General features: G+C 42.1%; 2 protein-coding genes across 8 annotated transcripts in view, besides 10 other annotated features; one reads left to right on the forward strand and one right to left on the reverse strand.

Annotated features, from left to right (window-relative positions):
* On the reverse strand, positions 2,614–14,278 carry ZAR1L (zygote arrest 1 like). Its single transcript, NM_001136571.2, has 6 exons — positions 14,230–14,278; positions 13,245–13,465; positions 10,187–11,008; positions 9,554–9,646; positions 7,601–7,675; positions 2,614–2,937 (listed from the first exon to the last, which is right to left on the reverse strand). The coding sequence occupies exons 3-6, from the start codon at positions 10,838–10,840 to the stop codon at positions 2,794–2,796; spliced, it is 966 nt and encodes a 321-aa protein (NP_001130043.1). The 5' UTR covers positions 10,841–11,008; positions 13,245–13,465; positions 14,230–14,278; the 3' UTR covers positions 2,614–2,793.
* Positions 9,110–9,169: a silencer, noted in NCBI's record as "silent region_5247". NCBI's record gives its function as "represses an Ori minimal core promoter by ATAC-STARR-seq in GM12878 lymphoblastoid cells {active_cell/tissue: GM12878}" and the evidence as "EXISTENCE:reporter gene assay evidence [ECO:0000049][PMID:35858748]".
* Positions 13,474–13,694: a silencer, noted in NCBI's record as "221 bp amplicon". NCBI's record gives its function as "mediates negative regulation of promoter by Snai2" and the evidence as "EXISTENCE:reporter gene assay evidence [ECO:0000049][PMID:10558858]".
* Positions 13,474–14,704: a biological region, named in NCBI's record as "BRCA2 promoter/silencer region". NCBI's record gives its function as "regulatory_interactions: BRCA2 | ZAR1L".
* Positions 13,484–13,768: a mobile genetic element.
* Positions 13,813–13,879: a transcriptional cis regulatory region, noted in NCBI's record as "-582 to -515 region". NCBI's record gives its function as "negative regulation of transcription" and the evidence as "EXISTENCE:reporter gene assay evidence [ECO:0000049][PMID:10961992, PMID:18990703]".
* Positions 13,837–13,861: a protein binding site, noted in NCBI's record as "PARP1 site". NCBI's record gives its function as "promotes repression of transcription" and the evidence as "EXISTENCE:protein binding evidence [ECO:0000024][PMID:18990703]".
* BRCA2 (BRCA2 DNA repair associated) overlaps positions 13,992–18,996 on the forward strand; it is an 85,192-nt gene continuing 80,187 nt past the window's right edge. For 5 of the 7 annotated variants that reach the window (NR_176251.1, NM_000059.4, NM_001406720.1 and 2 more), the window contains exons 1-3: positions 14,423–14,582; positions 15,337–15,442; positions 17,992–18,240. Coding sequence is in view for 5 of the 7 variants with exons in the window: in NM_000059.4 (NP_000050.3) it covers positions 15,376–15,442; positions 17,992–18,240 (316 nt within the window). In the remaining 2 variants the exon portion in view is untranslated. Of the gene's footprint in view, positions 14,061–14,422; positions 14,583–15,336; positions 15,443–17,991; positions 18,241–18,996 lie in introns of those variants that run through there. The other 2 variants (NM_001432077.1, NM_001406722.1) reach the window with 2 other exon arrangements.
* Positions 14,208–14,704: a promoter, noted in NCBI's record as "497 bp promoter". NCBI's record gives its function as "cell-cycle dependent bi-directional promoter" and the evidence as "EXISTENCE:reporter gene assay evidence [ECO:0000049][PMID:20202217]".
* Positions 14,265–14,301: a protein binding site, noted in NCBI's record as "NF-kB site". NCBI's record gives its function as "promotes transcription" and the evidence as "EXISTENCE:protein binding evidence [ECO:0000024][PMID:10961992]".
* Positions 14,360–14,385: a protein binding site, noted in NCBI's record as "USF site; binding antagonized by p53 (PMID:12591928), resulting in repression of expression". NCBI's record gives the evidence for it as "EXISTENCE:protein binding evidence [ECO:0000024][PMID:10961992, PMID:12591928]".
* Positions 14,813–15,082: an enhancer, noted in NCBI's record as "active region_7554". NCBI's record gives its function as "activates an Ori minimal core promoter by ATAC-STARR-seq in GM12878 lymphoblastoid cells {active_cell/tissue: GM12878}" and the evidence as "EXISTENCE:reporter gene assay evidence [ECO:0000049][PMID:35858748]".

The raw sequence follows: 18,996 nt of genomic DNA on the forward strand, positions 1-18,996 counted from the left end.
TGTGACATTAGTAGGATGAAGATATTACTAGAATGCAAGTCACACATGTAGTGTCGCACTAACAATGACACTGGTAATGTTACATTTCTAGTCATATCTTCACTACTAGAAGTGTCTTCATTACTAGAAGTGTGACATTACTAGTATGCAACTACAACCAAGAAAATCTCAAATCTCAACACTATGAGACAATCTTGTAATACACTTATGCCTTCCTGATCATTTCAATTTCCTAATGCCTGAGAGAGTTATTTCTCATATTTTCCTCCCTCCTCAGCATCCTACCTGTCTCAGCTGATGGCTTTGCTTCATAATTCATTGAGTAAACAAATGAGTCTCACCTTCCCCACCAAAAATATAAAGTTATCTTTAACTAGCCCTATATTCTAGGTGCTTCATCCTTTATAATCAAAGGGATATCACTGCTCCCCTCAGGGGCCAATTGCTCCACTGGCGCTCTGGACCCCATCTCTGCTGCCTATTCAAGGGCTTTGCTCCCGCAGACATTCCCCTCTCTGCTCTGCCATCAGCTTCTCTAAACGATTCCCTTTAATATGCCAACATACTCTGCGCCTCCACTTTCCCCAAATGCCATTCTAGCTATCACCAGTTTCTCTGCTTTCTTACAGCAAAACATCTAAGAAGTACTACTTCTGTTCACTGTTTGGACTTTAACGCTGCTTCCGTCCACACCACTCCAAGGAAACTTCTCTCTTCAACCTCCCCCATCACCTCCATGCTGCCAAATCCAATGGACCTGTCGTCACCTTTCTCGACCTCCCGGCAGGATTTGACTCAGTCGACTTTCCTACCTTCTGGAAATACTGTTTAATCTTCATTTTCATCTCGTCATCCTCTTCCTATCCCTCTTAACTTCATCTTTCATCTAACCACTAAGTTCCTGCTGCTCCAAGTATAGTCTGGGGAACCAGCAGCATTGATGGCATCTGGGAGCTTCCTAGATTTGCAGTCTCAGACCCCAGACCTACTGAATCAGAATCTTCATTTAACAAGCTCACCCAATGACTCCTGGGATGTTAAGGTTTTAGAATCATTACTCTAAGTGTTGGTACACCCCAGAGCCCTGTGTTGTACTCCCTTTTTTTTCCTGCTTCTATGAAACTATATTTTTTAATTTTTAAAATTTTTTTATTTCCATAGGTTATTGGGGAACAGGTGTTATTTGGTTATGTGAGTCAGTTAATTAGTGGTGATTTGTGAGATTTTGGTGCAGGTGATTCCATCCAGGCCCATGGCTTTAAAAACTACTTGTTATCTCCAAATCTATCCCTAGCCCTGACTTATCTCCTAAATTCCAGACACATATACCCAATAGGCTACATGACATCTACCATTTGGATGTCTCCAACACTTCAAACTTATGTTGAAAACAGAAGCCCATCCCCACATCACTAAATAGCTCCACTAAAATAAGAGGTAAATGTATTGAGCCCTCAAAGTGACAGGCACTAATTATTCTAAGTGATGAACATGCCTCAACTCCTTTAGTTCGTCTCTTGATGGTGTGAGGACTATCACTATCCCCATTTTACAGATAGGTAAACTGAGAGGTAGAGAGTAACTTGCCCAAAATTATCTCTTAAGTAAGTACAGCACCCACGATTTGCAATTAGGTAACCTGACTCCAGAACATGCTTCCTACCTGGTATAGCTCTCAATTCCATTCACCCTACAGCTCAAAGCACAATATTGAGTCATTGTTTATTTCCTCCATCTTCCACTGCCAGCCCTGCACATTTTCAAACATTATCTTAAACCCATGGATTTCTCTTCGTCTCCCTGGCCATCACCCTTGTCCAAGCCATCAATTTGCTCATGTGTTCATTAACCTCACAACTGGTCTCCCGCTAAAGGGAGCTTTTTGAAGTGAGAATGTGTCTGCACTGTTGAAAGCCCCTCATGGGCTGTCATTTGCTTAAACATGGCCTTGAGAATCCTTTGTGATCAGAGCCCTGTCTTCTGCAGCCTCATGTCCCACATCAGCCCCAGGGGGCTCCTATTCCTCAGCCCCTCAATGCCTTTATTCCTGCTGTTCCCTTGGATCAAAACCATCTTCTCCCTGCTCCCTTCATCCTGCGAGTCTCAATCTCATGTCACCTCTTCCCAGCCAACGTGTCTAAAAGGTTACTCTATCATAGCACCCTATTTCCTTCATGGCATTTATCACAATCTGAACTTGAGAAGTATAAATGTAATTGTGAAAGCATGGAGCAAGTCCTACTCTACCTGGTTTAAATCCTGGCACTCTGCTCTGGCCTCTGTGTGCCTCTATCTCCTCATCTATGAGAAGGTATAATAGCTCCTACTTCATATGGGTGCTGTAGTGAGTAATAGCAATGCATGGCACATGCTAAAGGCTGCTTCTGCATTTGCTATAGTTGTGTATACTTGGAGGAAGGACCTTGCCCCTTCATCATCTCTATATATAATGCTTAGAACCAGTGCTTAGAACGTCCGACTTATAAAAATTTGTCAAAAGAATGGCTATTTTTCTTCATTGTTCCCCTTCATATAAGTGACAGTATCTACCATTTCCCAATGCCATATATTGATGTTTTTACCCTAGGATCACCAATTAATGTGGCTTCATGGTCTAGTTCACATGCATTTATTTTATTCTATTCACATTGTACAATTGTTACACAATCTACAAAAAGTACAAAAGCCTAGCCATTTTCCGATGCCAGGTCAGAGCCAAGTTGCAAAAAAGGAAGACAGCACAGTAAGTTACAAGAAGAGCTCAGGGGTCCATTACAAGTCACACTGTACAAGTCACATCACATATTTAAAGCTGTAAATATTGCCACAGGAGAATCTCTTGTCTTTGCAGCGACCACACAGTTCCTGTCGATGAGGCCTCCTTAGATCAATGTGTCTCTTCTTTTGAGGACAGGAACAATGAGACTTTGAGCAGGTCTTTAGGAAACAAAGAAGAGTTTGGACGCTAAATGATCAGTTTAGTGTTTCAAATGTAACCCTCAAATCACAGTACTTCTCCCTATTACCCTATCCCTGAAACCTTCATCCTCTGAGTCCTACGAGAAGGCCAAGACCAAGTTGTACAAAATTACTTGTATCACATTAAATGTCAGATATTTTTTCAAGATGAATGATCACAGAAGATATTCAAGAGAATACTGCAGAGCCAATCAAGACAACATAATGTAAAAGGAATTTAAGAGTTTTGTAGAATTTCTTCCCTATGTAGATTTTTACATTTGTAGCTGAACCAGTCAAGGCAACATAATGTAAGAGAAAAAAATAAGTCAAGAGTTTTATAGCGTTTCTTCACTCTGCAGATGTTTAGATTTGTAGGCAGGTCAGGGTGAGTGGCAGTGGGTAGGAATAAAATGAACATTTAAAAAAGACTAGAGCAGATGTTCTCAACCAGGGGTGATTTTACTCCCCCATCTCCAACCCCAGTGGACATCTGGCAATGTCTGAATATATTTTGGGTTGTTAAAACTGGGAGAGAAGGGTATTCTGGAGGAAACTAAATGTTTCTTTTCTTCTTCTTTTCGATGTGCCCAATCTTTACTAGGATCTAAAATAGTTTCTTTCAACCATTATCTCATTTCTGTCTTCCAATAATTAAAACTAATATCCTATGGAAACTGGTACAGTACCCTGGTTCCATCCCCCCAACCCTGCCATTCTATTTTCTACATGTCCCATAGCCACATGGAATAAGTCAAGATTTACCTTTTTTTTTTTTTTTTTGAAATGGAGTCTCGCTCTGTCGCCCAGTCTGGAGTGCAGTGGTGAGATCTTGGCTCACTGCAACCTCCGTCTCCTGGGTTCAAGCAATTGTCTCTGCCTCAGCTTCCTGAGTAGCTGGAATTACAGGCAATCGCCACTATGCCCAGCTAATTTTTGTATTTTTTAGTAGAGATGGGGTTTCACCATGTTGGCCACACTGGTCTTGAACTCCTGACCTGAGGTGATCCGTCCGCCTTGGCCTCCCAAAGCGCTGGGATTACAAGAGTGAGCCACCATGCCTGGCCAAGATGTACCTTTCTATATTGTGAAAATAGACATTTTTATTCTGCTAAATGCAGTCTTAAACATTATTTAATAAACTGTTCTGTTGAAGAATATGCCTCCTTATGAGAAAATTCCTTTTTTTTTTTCTTTTTTTGAGACAGAGTCTCGCTCTTTTGCCCAGGCTGGACTGCAGTGGCGCTATCTTGGCTCACTGCAAGCTCCGCCTCCCGGGTTCACGCCATTCTCCTGCCTCAGCCTCCTGAGTAGCTGGGACTACAGGCGCCTGCCACTGCACCCGGCTAATTTTTTGTATTTTTAGTAGAGATGGGGTTTCACCATGTTAGCCAGGGTGGTATCGATCTCCTGACCTCGTGATCCACCCGCCTCGGCCTCCCAAAGTGCTGGGATTACAGGCGTGAGCCACTGCACCCAGCCCTTGTAAGAAAATTCTAACAAGTAATACTCACATGGTGTTTACTATGTGCCTAGCACTCTCTTAAGCACTTTATATACATGAATTCATTTAATTCTCACAACACCCTTACAAAGAAAGGCTCAATAAAATAAGGATTTACCCTAAAGGTTGATTTTTGCTTCTGGAAATGATGGATTAGGTAATTCTAACCAAGCCTCCTGGATGACTAGAAAAGCTGAGCTAAAAATAACTGTTTGGATCACTGAGAAATTATCAGAGCATTAGAGATGAAAACCCAGAAATAGGTGTGAGCTTGATGTCTGGGACTGTTTACTCTCACTATAGTTTTTCACATGTGATAGCTAGCACTCAATCAAAAATAACCAGGTACTGTATGTGAGGAAACAGAACAACATACTTGAAAGCCAAGAGGACAGCAATAGACTCACAGGGTATTGAGTTAATGGAGTTCTCTGACACAGATTTTAAAATCACTAAGTGCTAATATGTTCAAGGAAATAAAACTAATATTTCCAGCAAAAAATTGAAGTTTTCTTCTAAAGCAATAAAAATTCTAGAACAGAAAAATACAACAAATAAAATCAATAGTTCAATGGATGTTTTAATCACAGATTAAAAAGAGCTGAGATGAGAAATACAAATGGAAGATGGTTTAGTAGATAATATTCAGCCTAAAGCAAGAAGAGCTAAAAGCATGGAAAATATAGATAAGCACATAAGAGACAGAAAGAAATATGGTGCAAAGGTCTAGTATGAGTAATTGGAAGAAAGAAGGAATAGGAGCAGAAGTAACATTTGAAAAGATAACAGTTGATAATTTCCCAAAAGTAATGAAAATCTTTAAGCTGCAGTTTCAAGAAACACTATGAAGCTCAAGCAGGATAATTACAAAGAAACTACAACTAGGCACATCATTGTAAAACTGCTGAAAAACCAAGGCAGAGAGAAGTAAGCAGATTTACGAAGGGGAAAGAGAAGAGATTACTTCAAAAGAGATGCAATAAGAGCTATATTGTTTCATAGAAACAATGAAATTCAGATCCTTAAAGGGCAGAAAGAAGTATTTCCAACCTAGAAATTCTATATATACCCAGCGAAAATATCTCTTAAAAAGATATCCAAGGCTGGGCGTGACGGCTCACGCCTATAATCCCAATACTTTGGGAGGCCAAGGCAGGTGGATAACCTGAGGTCAGGAGTTCGAGACAAGCCTGGCCAACATGGAGAAACCCTGTCTATACTAAAAATACAAAAATTAGCCGGGCGTGGTGGCATGTGCCTGTAATCCCAGCTACTAGGGAGGCTGAGGCAGGAGAATCACTTGAATCCAGGAGGTGGAGATTGCAGTGAGCCAAGATCATGCCACTGCACTCCAGCCTGGGCAATGGAGCAAGACTCTATCTCAAAAAAAAAAAAAAAAAAAAAAAGATATCTGGACAAAATAGAATTTGTCACCTCCAGACCAATACTATGGAAAATATTAAAGTTCAAGTCAAAGGAAAGTGGCCCTAGAAACAAGAAGATACAAAGAATAACAGAAAGAATGTATAGCTAAAACTAAATGAATACTGACTATACACAATAATCTTATAAAATTTTAAATATAGGTAAAATAAGTATACAATAATAGCATATAAGTTAGGATGTAGTTAGAGTGTTCTCAAGTCATTGCATTGTCTGTGAAAGGCAAGATTAGGCTGAGCGCAGTGGCTTACGCCTGTAATCCCAGCACTTTGGGAGGCCGAAGCACATGGATCATGTCAGGAGTTTGAGACCAGCCTGGCCAACATAGTGAAACCCTGTCTGTACTAAAAATACAAAAATTAGCCAGGCATGGTAGCAGGCGCCTGTAGTCCTAGCTACTTGGGAGGCTGGGGCAAGAGAATCACTTGAACCCAGGAGGCAGAGCTTGTAGTGAACCAAGATTGCACCACTGTACTCCAGCCTGGGTGACACAGCAAGAGTCTGTCTCAAAAAAAAAAAAAAAAAAAAAAAAAAAAGGCAAGATTAACAATTTAGACTTTGACAAGTCAGACAGTCATGTTATTTCTATGGTAACCATCAAAAGGACATTAAAAAATGATAGAAAGGAATATTGAATATTAAAAAAAATTCAAGCGAACACAAGAGAAAAGAAAAAGGGGTGGAGAAAAAAGAAAATACATTTAAACCCAGTTTAATAAGTAGTTATATTGAACATCATCATCAAAGAATGTCAGACTAGAAAATTAGAGGATGAATCACTTATAAGCTAGTTTTCGAAATGTCAATTAATTTATTAATTAATTATTTTTGAGATGGAGTCTTGCTCTGTTGCCCAGGCTGGAGTGCAGTGGTGCCATCTCAGCTCACTGCAACCTCCTCCTCCTGGGTTCAAGCAATTCTCCTGCCTCAGCCTCCCGAGTAGCTGGGACTACAGGCACCTGCCACCATGTCTGCCTAATTTTTGTATTTTTAATAGAGACGGGGTTTCACTATATTGGCCAGGCTGGTCTCGAACTCCTGACCTTGTGATCCACCCACCTTGGCCTCCCAAAGTGCTGGGATTACAGGCATGATCCACCATGCCTGGCCTATTTATTTCTACTAATTATAGAAAAAGAAGAAATGTTTTTAACTAAGGACTTAGGTTAAAAAACATATCAATTACAAAAAGCAAGTTAAGGATCTCACCTAGTTCTGTGAATTTCTAAACATTGGAGACACCATAGAATCCAGTCAGAGCTCTAATACTATCCATCTAACCTTGGGAAAGTTATTTTGAACTTAGCTTTCAGATCTATAAAATAGGAATAACATCTCCCACAAAGATTAGATGACAGGAGGTAATGCATGTAAAGCACTATCTCAAAATTTGGCATGTAGTAAAAAATTAACAGCAGTCACCTTTTACATTACTACATTCTAACTATGCCCAGGGTGTCAGAGGAAAAACAAACACACCCCATAAGGCAACTTGAAATAGTGAATCTTCCCCTCTTTCCCTTCAAAAAAGATGCAAACTAGAATTTATGCTTTCATTGTTCTAAAATGTAACATCTCAAACATACAGAACACTCACATACCAATATCCAACTCTATCAAATCCTAACATTTTGTCACAGAGGCTTCATTTTAGTAATGAAACATAGACACAATGGAAGTGTTCCATATGCTCACCTGACATTGGATTGCTTCTACTCGATAAGGGTTAAAACTCTTTTGGCATTTACAACAGAGTTGTTTGAAATAAACCTAAAGAGAAATATGTTTTTTTTTAATACAAGCTTTTATACACACCCACACCCTGCAAAGGCTCCCAGTTCTTAAGTAATCCATTGCATCTTGCTTTTACCAACTTCTACCCTTGCCTTGCCTTTTATCTTGCTTTTACCAACCTCTACCCTTGGGGTTTCAAGGTGTACTAGTTCTTATTAATCACTTTTTCTTTGAATCTAATTTTCCTTACCCATAAAATTGGAATACATTTTTTTTTTTTTTTGAGATGGAGTTTTGCTCTTGTAATCCAGTCTGGAGTGCAATGGTGGGAAATCGGCTCACTGCAACCCCCGCCTCCTGGGTTCAAGCGATTCTCCTGCCTCAGCCTCCTGAGTTGCTGGGATTACAGGTGCCCGCCACCACACCCGGCTAATTTTTTGTATTTTTAGTAGAGACTGGGTTTTGCCATGTTGACCAGGCTGGTCTCAAACTCCTGGCCTTAAATGATCTACCCACCTCGGCCTCCCAAAGTGCTGGGATTACAAGCCTGAGCCACCGCATCCAGCCAGAATAATACGATTAATACTTACTTTTTCCATAGTTCTGAGAACTCCCTAATAATGTACACCAAGTACCACAGTAGATACTCAATGGGAAGTGGCTGCCATACTTTTTGTCCTTATCTTTTAGCTCTTACATGTTTCATTTTTCAGTATTTCCCGGCTTACACTTTAAATTACTTGTGGTTACCCATCAATACCACCTGCTTTCTAGGCTTTGTGCAATTTCCTGTGCACATTTTCTCTCTGCCTTGCTTGGTGAACTCTTCCTCCTATTTATTGTTTCAAATCCTGCTTGGACATCAAGCTGTCTTCCCTCAGACAGAGCTAATACCCTCCTTCCTGTGCTATCTCTGCACTGCTTCCATATGAAGAAGGATGCTACTGCACGTATTGCCAAATTACATTTTGTTTCCATCACTCGTATCAAAATAAATTCCTTGAGAACAAGTCCTGTGTTTTGTTCTTTGTATCCTAGTGCCTTGGAATGTTTGAATTAAACTCATTTTTCTTCTGGCAAGAGAAGGAAGTAAATTCAACTTCAACTTTAAAAATCTATTCACTCTCTAGGTCTCTAGTAAATGGCTAGTGTGAGAAATCAAGTTTTCATCCGGAACTCAATGCCTTTTTGCCCTCTCTCTCCACAGTCCTTTGGCCAGTAAGGCAATTTCTAAACATGCGACAGCACAGGGCGTTCACACTCAAATGCTTATGGAGGTTAATAACATCGGGCCACGTAGACTGTTGCAAAACGAGGTGCACAGGGCAAGGAAAAGAAGAGGAAGCCTTAGGGGCAGCCTGCTGTTCTCATTCTCAAACGAGGGTCTCTAATGACCAGAGCCTACAGGATTCACGAAAATGCAGAAATGCAGAATTTAATGTGAAGCCTTTTCCAGTCCTAATATGTTGGCAATTAAATTAGGAAGGGGGCAAAAGAAACTTTAGGCGTAGCCTAAGTCTCTTACAGGCAAATCTTTACAGTAAGTTTTTTCACTTATTGCCCCACCTTGTGGACAAACAGTGGAAATTTCCTAGCGCTAAGGCCCAGACCTGTTCCAAGCATACCAACTAAAAAACGGTTAGAAAAACTTCCAATGTAGACAAGAACAAAAGTTCATCTAAGTAACCTGACATCTTGTCATATATAACGCCAGAGTATGGTTCGGAAACCCAGGTGGACAGTCCGATTCAGTTCCATTCATTCACTGAGCACTTCCTGTACACCTGGCACGGGGGATGCCACCAAGATCAAGACAGGACTATGACAGCCATGCTCCCTCAGGAATCAGATTCTTCCCCGCTTACCATCCGTGCCCACCCCATCCTCCTCTCACCTCCTACTCTTTTTATTTACCTTGTTCGTTCCAGAAATGCACCACACGTAAGCACTCTCCCACCTGGTCTTACAATCTTTACAGTGGAAATAGCCATATTTTGGTTCCAAAAACTGAAAATAAAGAAGAAAAGTACTTTACCATCATGCAAGGGGAAAAAAGCCAGATCCTTCTTTATGACTTTGTATAAGGAAAAAAAAATGACTTCTTTAACCTCACTTGTATCTATTCTCAAGACTACGGCATTGATTCAGTTTCTCATCTCTCTTAAAGATTACTCTGGGATTCTTCTTGCTGCTGTCGTTTGTACTTTTCCAATCCATTTTCCACAATGCTACCGGCACAATCTTCCCAAAACGAAAGTCTGATTTCATGTATTACAGACTCGAAGCCCTTCTTCGTCTCCAAATTCTCCAATAGCAGTGGTTGCCAGACTGTTGGTTTTCACAGGCTTAGTTTGGGTTGGCACCTATTTTACCCAAAACTTACCAAACATACAGGCCACGTGATATACATATTTTCAGAGCTCCCTCTCCTTCACCAAGTACATGGAAGAAGAGAGAGAAGATTTTGCTCTTATTGCCCCCATAGATGGAAAAGGAGGGAGGGGATGAGGCTGGTCGAGGACTAAGAAGAGGGAAGAGAGGATCTACCTGGAAGTTGGGCCTCCGGAGCGGCTCGGAGGCGGCGTCTCCAGGCACCTGCTTGCTCTTCGTCTCCTGAGGGCACGGGGCGTCTTTCTCCCCCGATTCCTCCAGCTGCCCGGGCTCCTCCTGCCTGTCAGCTCCTGACCTCCGTGATGGTGGCTGCGGCTGGCTGGCCTCCGCAGGGCCCGGGAGCGCCTTGCTCTCCGCTTCGTCCCCATCTCTCCGCAGGCGGATCAAGCCCCTGCGGCCGGTGGCGGGCGAAGTGACCCCACAGGCTGGCAGGGGCTCCTGGGGGTCTCTGCCGTCCCAGGGGGAGCAGCTGCTGAGGGTGCGAGGCCCCAGAGAGCACTGCACAGCCTTGTCCACCCGCGGGCTCACCTGCACGCCCACCTCCTTGGTGTTGGGCTTGCACAGCCGCGGGCTCAGGCTGGGGTTCATCTGGGAGAGAATGGCCTTAAGCTGCGCCCTCTTGTAAGGGTCAATGCAGTAGTCAGGGGCGTTCGCGGGCACCAGCAGCCCTGGCCTGGCCAGAAAAGTGGGAGGACCCATATTTTGCCTCCAGTCGGGCTGTTTGTGCCCTGAGAGTCCAGGCTGGCCCAAAGGCACTGTGCTCCCATAACCCTGGTACAAGCCATAGGGAACACGGACAAAGCGCTCCATCCGCTCTCAGGTGCTCAGGCGCAGTCTAATATCCTAGCCAGTTTGTTTGGGTCCTTATTTTGCCTTCCTCCTTCATCCGCCCCTTCTTTCTCTTCATCAGGTTGGTTCAGATTCATTCCTGGCTTCTCCATTTATTTCAGATTCTAATGGGAGCTGCTGCTTATTACCCTGATTGAGGGAGAGAAGCTCTATCTACAGATGTCTAATTGCCACCTGATTCCTACCTAATTGCTTTTCCCTACCTCTTCACTGTTCGGGAATCTTTTTTTCAAAGCTGTTTTTCATTTCCAGCTTATTCACACATATGCTTTAATTAGTGATTAATTCATATATTCCTGTAGTGACCATTCTAAAGATCCTTTGTAAGGTAATGTGGTAATGTTAGATAATGTTTTAAGGTACAGCCATTATGGACAACAGTATGAAGGTTCCTTAAAAAAGTTAATAGAAGTACCAGATAATCCAGTAATCCCACCACTGCGTATTTACCCAAAGGAAATGAAATCAATATCCTGAAGAGATACCTTCACTTCCTTGTTCGTTGTAGCATTATGCACAATAGCCAAGTTATGGAAACAATCTAAGTGTCTGTTAACAGAAAAATGGATAGAGAAATTGTGGCATGTATTTATACAATGGAATATTATTCAGCCTTAAAACAGGAGATCCTGGCCAGGCGCGGTGGCTCACACCTGTAATCCCAGCAGTTTGGGAGGCCGAGGCAGGCAGATGACCTAAGGTCAGGAGTTCGAGACCAACCTGGCCAACATGATGAAACCCTGCCTCTAATAAAAATACAAAAATCAGCCGGGTATGGTGGCACGCTCCTGTAATCCCAGCTACTCGGGAGGCTGAGGCTGGAGAATCACCTGAACCCGGGAGGCAAAGGTTGCAGTGAGCTGAGATCACACTACTGCACTCCAGTCTGGGCAACAGAGAGAGAAAGACTCCGTCTCAAACAAACAAACAAACAAAAAACAGGAGATCCTGCCATTTGCAACAACATGGGTGAAACTGGGGAACATTATGCTAAGTGAAATAAGCCAGATAGAAAAATACTGCATAAACTCACTGATATGTGGAATCTGAAAAAGTCAAATACATAGAAGCAGAAAGTAGAATGGTGGTTACCAGGGACAGGAAGTTGGGGGGAATGGAGAGAGACTGGTCAGAGCCTAAAATGTTACAGTTAGGTAGAATGAATGAGTCTAGAGATCTAATTTACAGCATAACGACTACAGTTAACAATACTGTATTTTATACTGAAAAGTTTCAAAGAGAAATTTCAGGTGCTCTCACCGCACACAAAAGAAAGGTAATTATGTGAACAGATGGATATGTTAATTGCTTGACTATAGTAATCATCTCACTGTGTACATATACATGTTGTGCACATTAAATATATACAACTTTTAGGAAATAATGGTTTTTTGGGTTTTTGTTTGTTTGCTTGTTTGAAATGGAGTTTCCTTGCTCTGTCTCCCAGGCAGGAGTGCAGTGGCATGATTTCGGCTCACTGCAACTTCCGCCTCTGGGGTTCAAGTGATTCTCCCACCTCAGCCTCCCAAGTAGCTGGGATTACAGGCACATGCCACCACACCCAGTTAATTTTTGTATTTTTAGTAGAGACAGGGTTTTGCCATGTTGGCCAGGCTGGTCTCGAACTCCTGACCTCAGGTGATCTGCCCACCTTGGCCTCCCAAAGTGCTGTGATTACAGGCGTGAGCCACCATGCCCAGCTGGAAATAATGTTTTTAAGAAAAATTAAAGCATATTGTAAATTGAATACAAATAGTAAATTGAGCAGCTGCACTAGAAGAGAATAGGTGAGAAAGTCTATTATGGTGGAGCTAATAAGTTGCAAGTCCCTGGTACAAAGAGAACAAGAAACATAAAGGTATGGGGGGCTGTATAAAATGACAGAAAATGTTATTTCTGAGACTTGTGTGACATGCCACGGGTTCTCATTAGTCCACTCCTAGTGAGACACCCCTCCCCCACAAAAAGGGGACAAAGCATATTGTTCTGATTTATAGGGTAAATAAATCACAGGTTAGTTAAGTGTATGAAGTCAAATGGACTAGAATTCAAACCTGGGCCTTACTACCAGGCACATTACTTAACTACTTGATTCAGTATCCTCATCTGACAATACTGACCAATTTACAGGATTACTGTAAGATTAAACATGGTATTGCTTGAAAACCCAAAGCAGAATGCCTAACTCATAAAATGTTTGGTAAGTGGCAGCTGTTATTAGTAAGGATCACAGACGTATTTCTTTGCGAATTAGACTTAGAGCAAAAGCTTTAGAATCTATCTGCATTAGTAAGGCCTCCTTCTACAACTAAGGATTACTGATTATCAAACTAAAATGGTCCCTAAGGAACCAAGCGGAGCCCACCCTTTTCCTAATCCAAGGTTGCTTCTGTTTACTGCTCAAGCACCTTCTGGAAGCAGCAAGGCCCCCATGGGAGCAACTCTCACTGAATCCATTTGAAGGTTTTGTAGGTCTTACAACAAACCCTATTCAGCCTTGTATTAGGCATGTTACAGAACCAACGAATTCGGAGATGAAGTCAGGTCTTCCAGTTCAGCCTGCGAGGAAGACAGGTGATCCGAATCCTAAGAATGCAAAAGATGGGCCGGGTGTGGTGGCTCATGCCTGTAATCCCAGCGCTTTGGGAGGCCGAGGCAGGCAGATCACCTGAGGTCGGGAGGTTGAGACCAGACTGACCAACAACGGAGAAACCCCGTCTCTACTTAAAAATGCAAAGTTAGCCGTGCGTGGTGGCCCATGCCTGTATTCCCAGCTACTCGGGAGGCTGAGGCAGGAGAACCACTTGATCCCTGGAGGCGGAAGTTGCGGTGAGCGGAGATTGCGCCATTGCACACCAGCCCGGGCCACAAGAGCGAAACTCCGTCTCAAAAAAAAAAGCAAAAGATACTACCAAGCCCTGCGGAGCAAGGTACCTCACACTTCATGAGCGAGTTAAGATGGGTTTCACAATTTTTCAAGCAAGGAAACGGGCTCGGAGGTCTTGAACACCTGCTACCCAATAGCAGAACAGCTACTGGAACTAAAATCCTCTGATTTCAAATAACAGCCCCGCCCACTACCACTAAGTGAAGTCATCCACAACCACACACCGACCACTCTAAGCTTTTGTAAGATCGGCTCGCTTTGGGGAACAGGTCTTGAGAGAACATCCCTTTTAAGGTCAGAACAAAGGTATTTCATAGGTCCCAGGTCGTGTCCCGAGGGCGCCCACCCAAACATGAGCTGGAGCAAAAAGAAAGGGATGGGGGACTTGGAGTAGGCATAGGGGCGGCCCCTCCAAGCAGGGTGGCCTGGGACTCTTAAGGGTCAGCGAGAAGAGAACACACACTCCAGCTCCCGCTTTATTCGGTCAGATACTGACGGTTGGGATGCCTGACAAGGAATTTCCTTTCGCCACACTGAGAAATACCCGCAGCGGCCCACCCAGGCCTGACTTCCGGGTGGTGCGTGTGCTGCGTGTCGCGTCACGGCGTCACGTGGCCAGCGCGGGCTTGTGGCGCGAGCTTCTGAAACTAGGCGGCAGAGGCGGAGCCGCTGTGGCACTGCTGCGCCTCTGCTGCGCCTCGGGTGTCTTTTGCGGCGGTGGGTCGCCGCCGGGAGAAGCGTGAGGGGACAGATTTGTGACCGGCGCGGTTTTTGTCAGCTTACTCCGGCCAAAAAAGAACTGCACCTCTGGAGCGGGTTAGTGGTGGTGGTAGTGGGTTGGGACGAGCGCGTCTTCCGCAGTCCCAGTCCAGCGTGGCGGGGGAGCGCCTCACGCCCCGGGTCGCTGCCGCGGCTTCTTGCCCTTTTGTCTCTGCCAACCCCCACCCATGCCTGAGAGAAAGGTCCTTGCCCGAAGGCAGATTTTCGCCAAGCAAATTCGAGCCCCGCCCCTTCCCTGGGTCTCCATTTCCCGCCTCCGGCCCGGCCTTTGGGCTCCGCCTTCAGCTCAAGACTTAACTTCCCTCCCAGCTGTCCCAGATGACGCCATCTGAAATTTCTTGGAAACACGATCACTTTAACGGAATATTGCTGTTTTGGGGAAGTGTTTTACAGCTGCTGGGCACGCTGTATTTGCCTTACTTAAGCCCCTGGTAATTGCTGTATTCCGAAGACATGCTGATGGGAATTACCAGGCGGCGTTGGTCTCTAACTGGAGCCCTCTGTCCCCACTAGCCACGCGTCACTGGTTAGCGTGATTGAAACTAAATCGTATGAAAATCCTCTTCTCTAGTCGCACTAGCCACGTTTCGAGTGCTTAATGTGGCTAGTGGCACCGGTTTGGACAGCACAGCTGTAAAATGTTCCCATCCTCACAGTAAGCTGTTACCGTTCCAGGAGATGGGACTGAATTAGAATTCAAACAAATTTTCCAGCGCTTCTGAGTTTTACCTCAGTCACATAATAAGGAATGCATCCCTGTGTAAGTGCATTTTGGTCTTCTGTTTTGCAGACTTATTTACCAAGCATTGGAGGAATATCGTAGGTAAAAATGCCTATTGGATCCAAAGAGAGGCCAACATTTTTTGAAATTTTTAAGACACGCTGCAACAAAGCAGGTATTGACAAATTTTATATAACTTTATAAATTACACCGAGAAAGTGTTTTCTAAAAAATGCTTGCTAAAAACCCAGTACGTCACAGTGTTGCTTAGAACCATAAACTGTTCCTTATGTGTGTATAAATCCAGTTAACAACATAATCATCGTTTGCAGGTTAACCACATGATAAATATAGAACGTCTAGTGGATAAAGAGGAAACTGGCCCCTTGACTAGCAGTAGGAACAATTACTAACAAATCAGAAGCATTAATGTTACTTTATGGCAGAAGTTGTCCAACTTTTTGGTTTCAGTACTCCTTATACTCTTAAAAATGATCTAGGACCCCCGGAGTGCTTTTGTTTATGTAGCTTACCATATTAGAAATTTAAAACTAAGAATTTAAGGCTGGGCGTGGTGGCTCACGCCTGTAATCCCAGCACTTTGGGAGGCCGAGGTGGGCGGATCACTTGAGGCCAGAAGTTTGAGACCAGCCTGGCCAACATGGTGAAACCCTATCTCTACTAAAAATACAAAAAATGTGCTGCGTGTGGTGGTGCGTGCCTGTAATCCCAGCTACACGGGAGGTGGAGGCAGGAGAATCGCTTGAACCCTGGAGGCAGAGGTTGCAGTGAGCCAAGATCATGCCACTGCACTCTAGCCTGGGCCACATAGCATGACTCTGTCTCAAAACAAACAAACAAACAAAAAACTAAGAATTTAAAGTTAATTTACTTAAAAATAATGAAAGCTAACCCATTGCATATTATCACAACATTCTTAGGAAAAATAACTTTTTGAAAACAAGTGAGTGGAATAGTTTTTACATTTTTGCAGTTCTCTTTAATGTCTGGCTAAATAGAGATAGCTGGATTCACTTATCTGTGTCTAATCTGTTATTTTGGTAGAAGTATGTGAAAAAAAATTAACCTCACGTTGAAAAAAGGAATATTTTAATAGTTTTCAGTTACTTTTTGGTATTTTTCCTTGTACTTTGCATAGATTTTTCAAAGATCTAATAGATATACCATAGGTCTTTCCCATGTCGCAACATCATGCAGTGATTATTTGGAAGATAGTGGTGTTCTGAATTATACAAAGTTTCCAAATATTGATAAATTGCATTAAACTATTTTAAAAATCTCATTCATTAATACCACCATGGATGTCAGAAAAGTCTTTTAAGATTGGGTAGAAATGAGCCACTGGAAATTCTAATTTTCATTTGAAAGTTCACATTTTGTCATTGACAACAAACTGTTTTCCTTGCAGCAACAAGATCACTTCATTGATTTGTGAGAAAATGTCTACCAAATTATTTAAGTTGAAATAACTTTGTCAGCTGTTCTTTCAAGTAAAAATGACTTTTCATTGAAAAAATTGCTTGTTCAGATCACAGCTCAACATGAGTGCTTTTCTAGGCAGTATTGTACTTCAGTATGCAGAAGTGCTTTATGTATGCTTCCTATTTTGTCAGAGATTATTAAAAGAAGTGCTAAAGCATTGAGCTTCGAAATTAATTTTTACTGCTTCATTAGGACATTCTTACATTAAACTGGCATTATTATTACTATTATTTTTAACAAGGACACTCAGTGGTAAGGAATATAATGGCTACTAGTATTAGTTTGGTGCCACTGCCATAACTCATGCAAATGTGCCAGCAGTTTTACCCAGCATCATCTTTGCACTGTTGATACAAATGTCAACATCATGAAAAAGGGAAATGATTCCATAGCGTTATTATGAAAGTAGTTTTGAACTGTAATGGTAGAGGATGAATAGCTCACAATACAAATTTGTCATTTCCCTTTAAGAGAGAATTCCCATTTTATGTGAGAGTCCACATGTTCCTCATACCCATAGTTTGCCACATCTTGAGTACTCTTCAGAATTATTTGAATTTTTTGAATTTTATCTGTGGAATGTATTTTTTTTTTTTTCTTTTTTGAGACACAGTCTTGCTCTGTTGCCCAGGCTGGAATGCAGTGGCGTGATCTCGGCTCACTGCAACCACCGCCTCCTGGGTTCAAGTGATTCTCCTGTGGCAGCCTCCGGAGTAGCTGGGACTACAGGCGTGTGCCACCATGCTTGGCTAATTTTTTGTGTTTTTAGTAAAGATGGGGTTTCAACGTGTTAGCAAGGTTGGTCTCGATCTGACCTCGTGATCTGCTCGCCTCAGCCTCCCAAAGTGTTGGGATTACAGGCGTGAGCCCCCGCACCTGGCCGAATTTTATCGTGGAATGTATTCTTAATGTGAATAGTTTTTGATTCCGAACCATGAATAATAAGAAAATAAATAAAATTTAAATGAAAATAAAAGCTAATATATACAGCTTTTAATAATATAGTTAAATGCCATCTTGTAACTTTTGTGAACTCTTGTTACACCTTTCTATAGATTCGCAAGAGAATGGATTAATGATCTTGTTTAATTAATATGCCTTAACAAAAGTAATCCATAGTCAAGATCTTAAGCATTTTTTTCCTTATGATCTTTAACTGTTCTGGGTCACAAATTTGTCTGTCACTGGTTAAAACTAAGGTGGGATTTTTTTTTTAAATAGATTTAGGACCAATAAGTCTTAATTGGTTTGAAGAACTTTCTTCAGAAGCTCCACCCTATAATTCTGAACCTGCAGAAGAATCTGAACATAAAAACAACAATTACGAACCAAACCTATTTAAAACTCCACAAAGGAAACCATCTTATAATCAGCTGGCTTCAACTCCAATAATATTCAAAGAGCAAGGGCTGACTCTGCCGCTGTACCAATCTCCTGTAAAAGAATTAGATAAATTCAAATTAGACTTAGGTAAGTAATGCAATATGGTAGACTGGGGAGAACTACAAACTAGGAATTTAGGCAAACCTGTGTTAAAATCTTAGCTCATTCATTAATTGTGTCATGCTGGGCAAATCAGTCTCTCTGGCCTCTTTTTCCTCACTCGAAAAATGGAGACGATGAAAATAATGTCTCATAGGTTTGGATTAAATTAAATAATGTAGGTACTTAGTAAATGTTCTCTTTCATCCCTCCTTTGATAAATTTGCCAACTGAGATTTGCTGAATTACGTCTTTCTTATGCCAAAAAAACCTAGGACTTGTTTTGATGTTAATTAAACTAAACTATATTTCTGCAAGCTATCACAGAGGACAGAGATTATTTTACCGATATACTATAAGTATCATGATTTGGAAGGAGTTTCCCTGGCGTAGGTGCCGCATGTTTCTAAGCAATTATGTAATAAGATTATATATTCAGTCATTCAAATAATTATTACCTACTTGACATAAGTAATGAACTTTCCCTTTTCTTCAGAGTGTTAATCTCTAGTAAGGGGAATAAAGAGTACACAGATAAAGTATAGTGTAAGGTTGAATGTAGTATGTGCTAAGAGAAAAATATAAAAAAGTATAATGAGAGTTGAGAAGAAAGAGCAAATAGTATTGGGCAAAGTTAGGCAATTATTCCTTTGAGCTAAACCTTGAAGGATAGGTGAGAGATTAAGAAATTTGAAGATGTGGTAGAGTGATAATGTTCTAGGCAGAGGGAACAACATGAGGAAG

Source organism: Homo sapiens, chromosome 13 (genome assembly GCF_000001405.40).
Source record: "Homo sapiens chromosome 13, GRCh38.p14 Primary Assembly".
In the NCBI taxonomy this organism is placed as follows: Eukaryota; Metazoa; Chordata; class Mammalia; order Primates; family Hominidae; genus Homo; species Homo sapiens.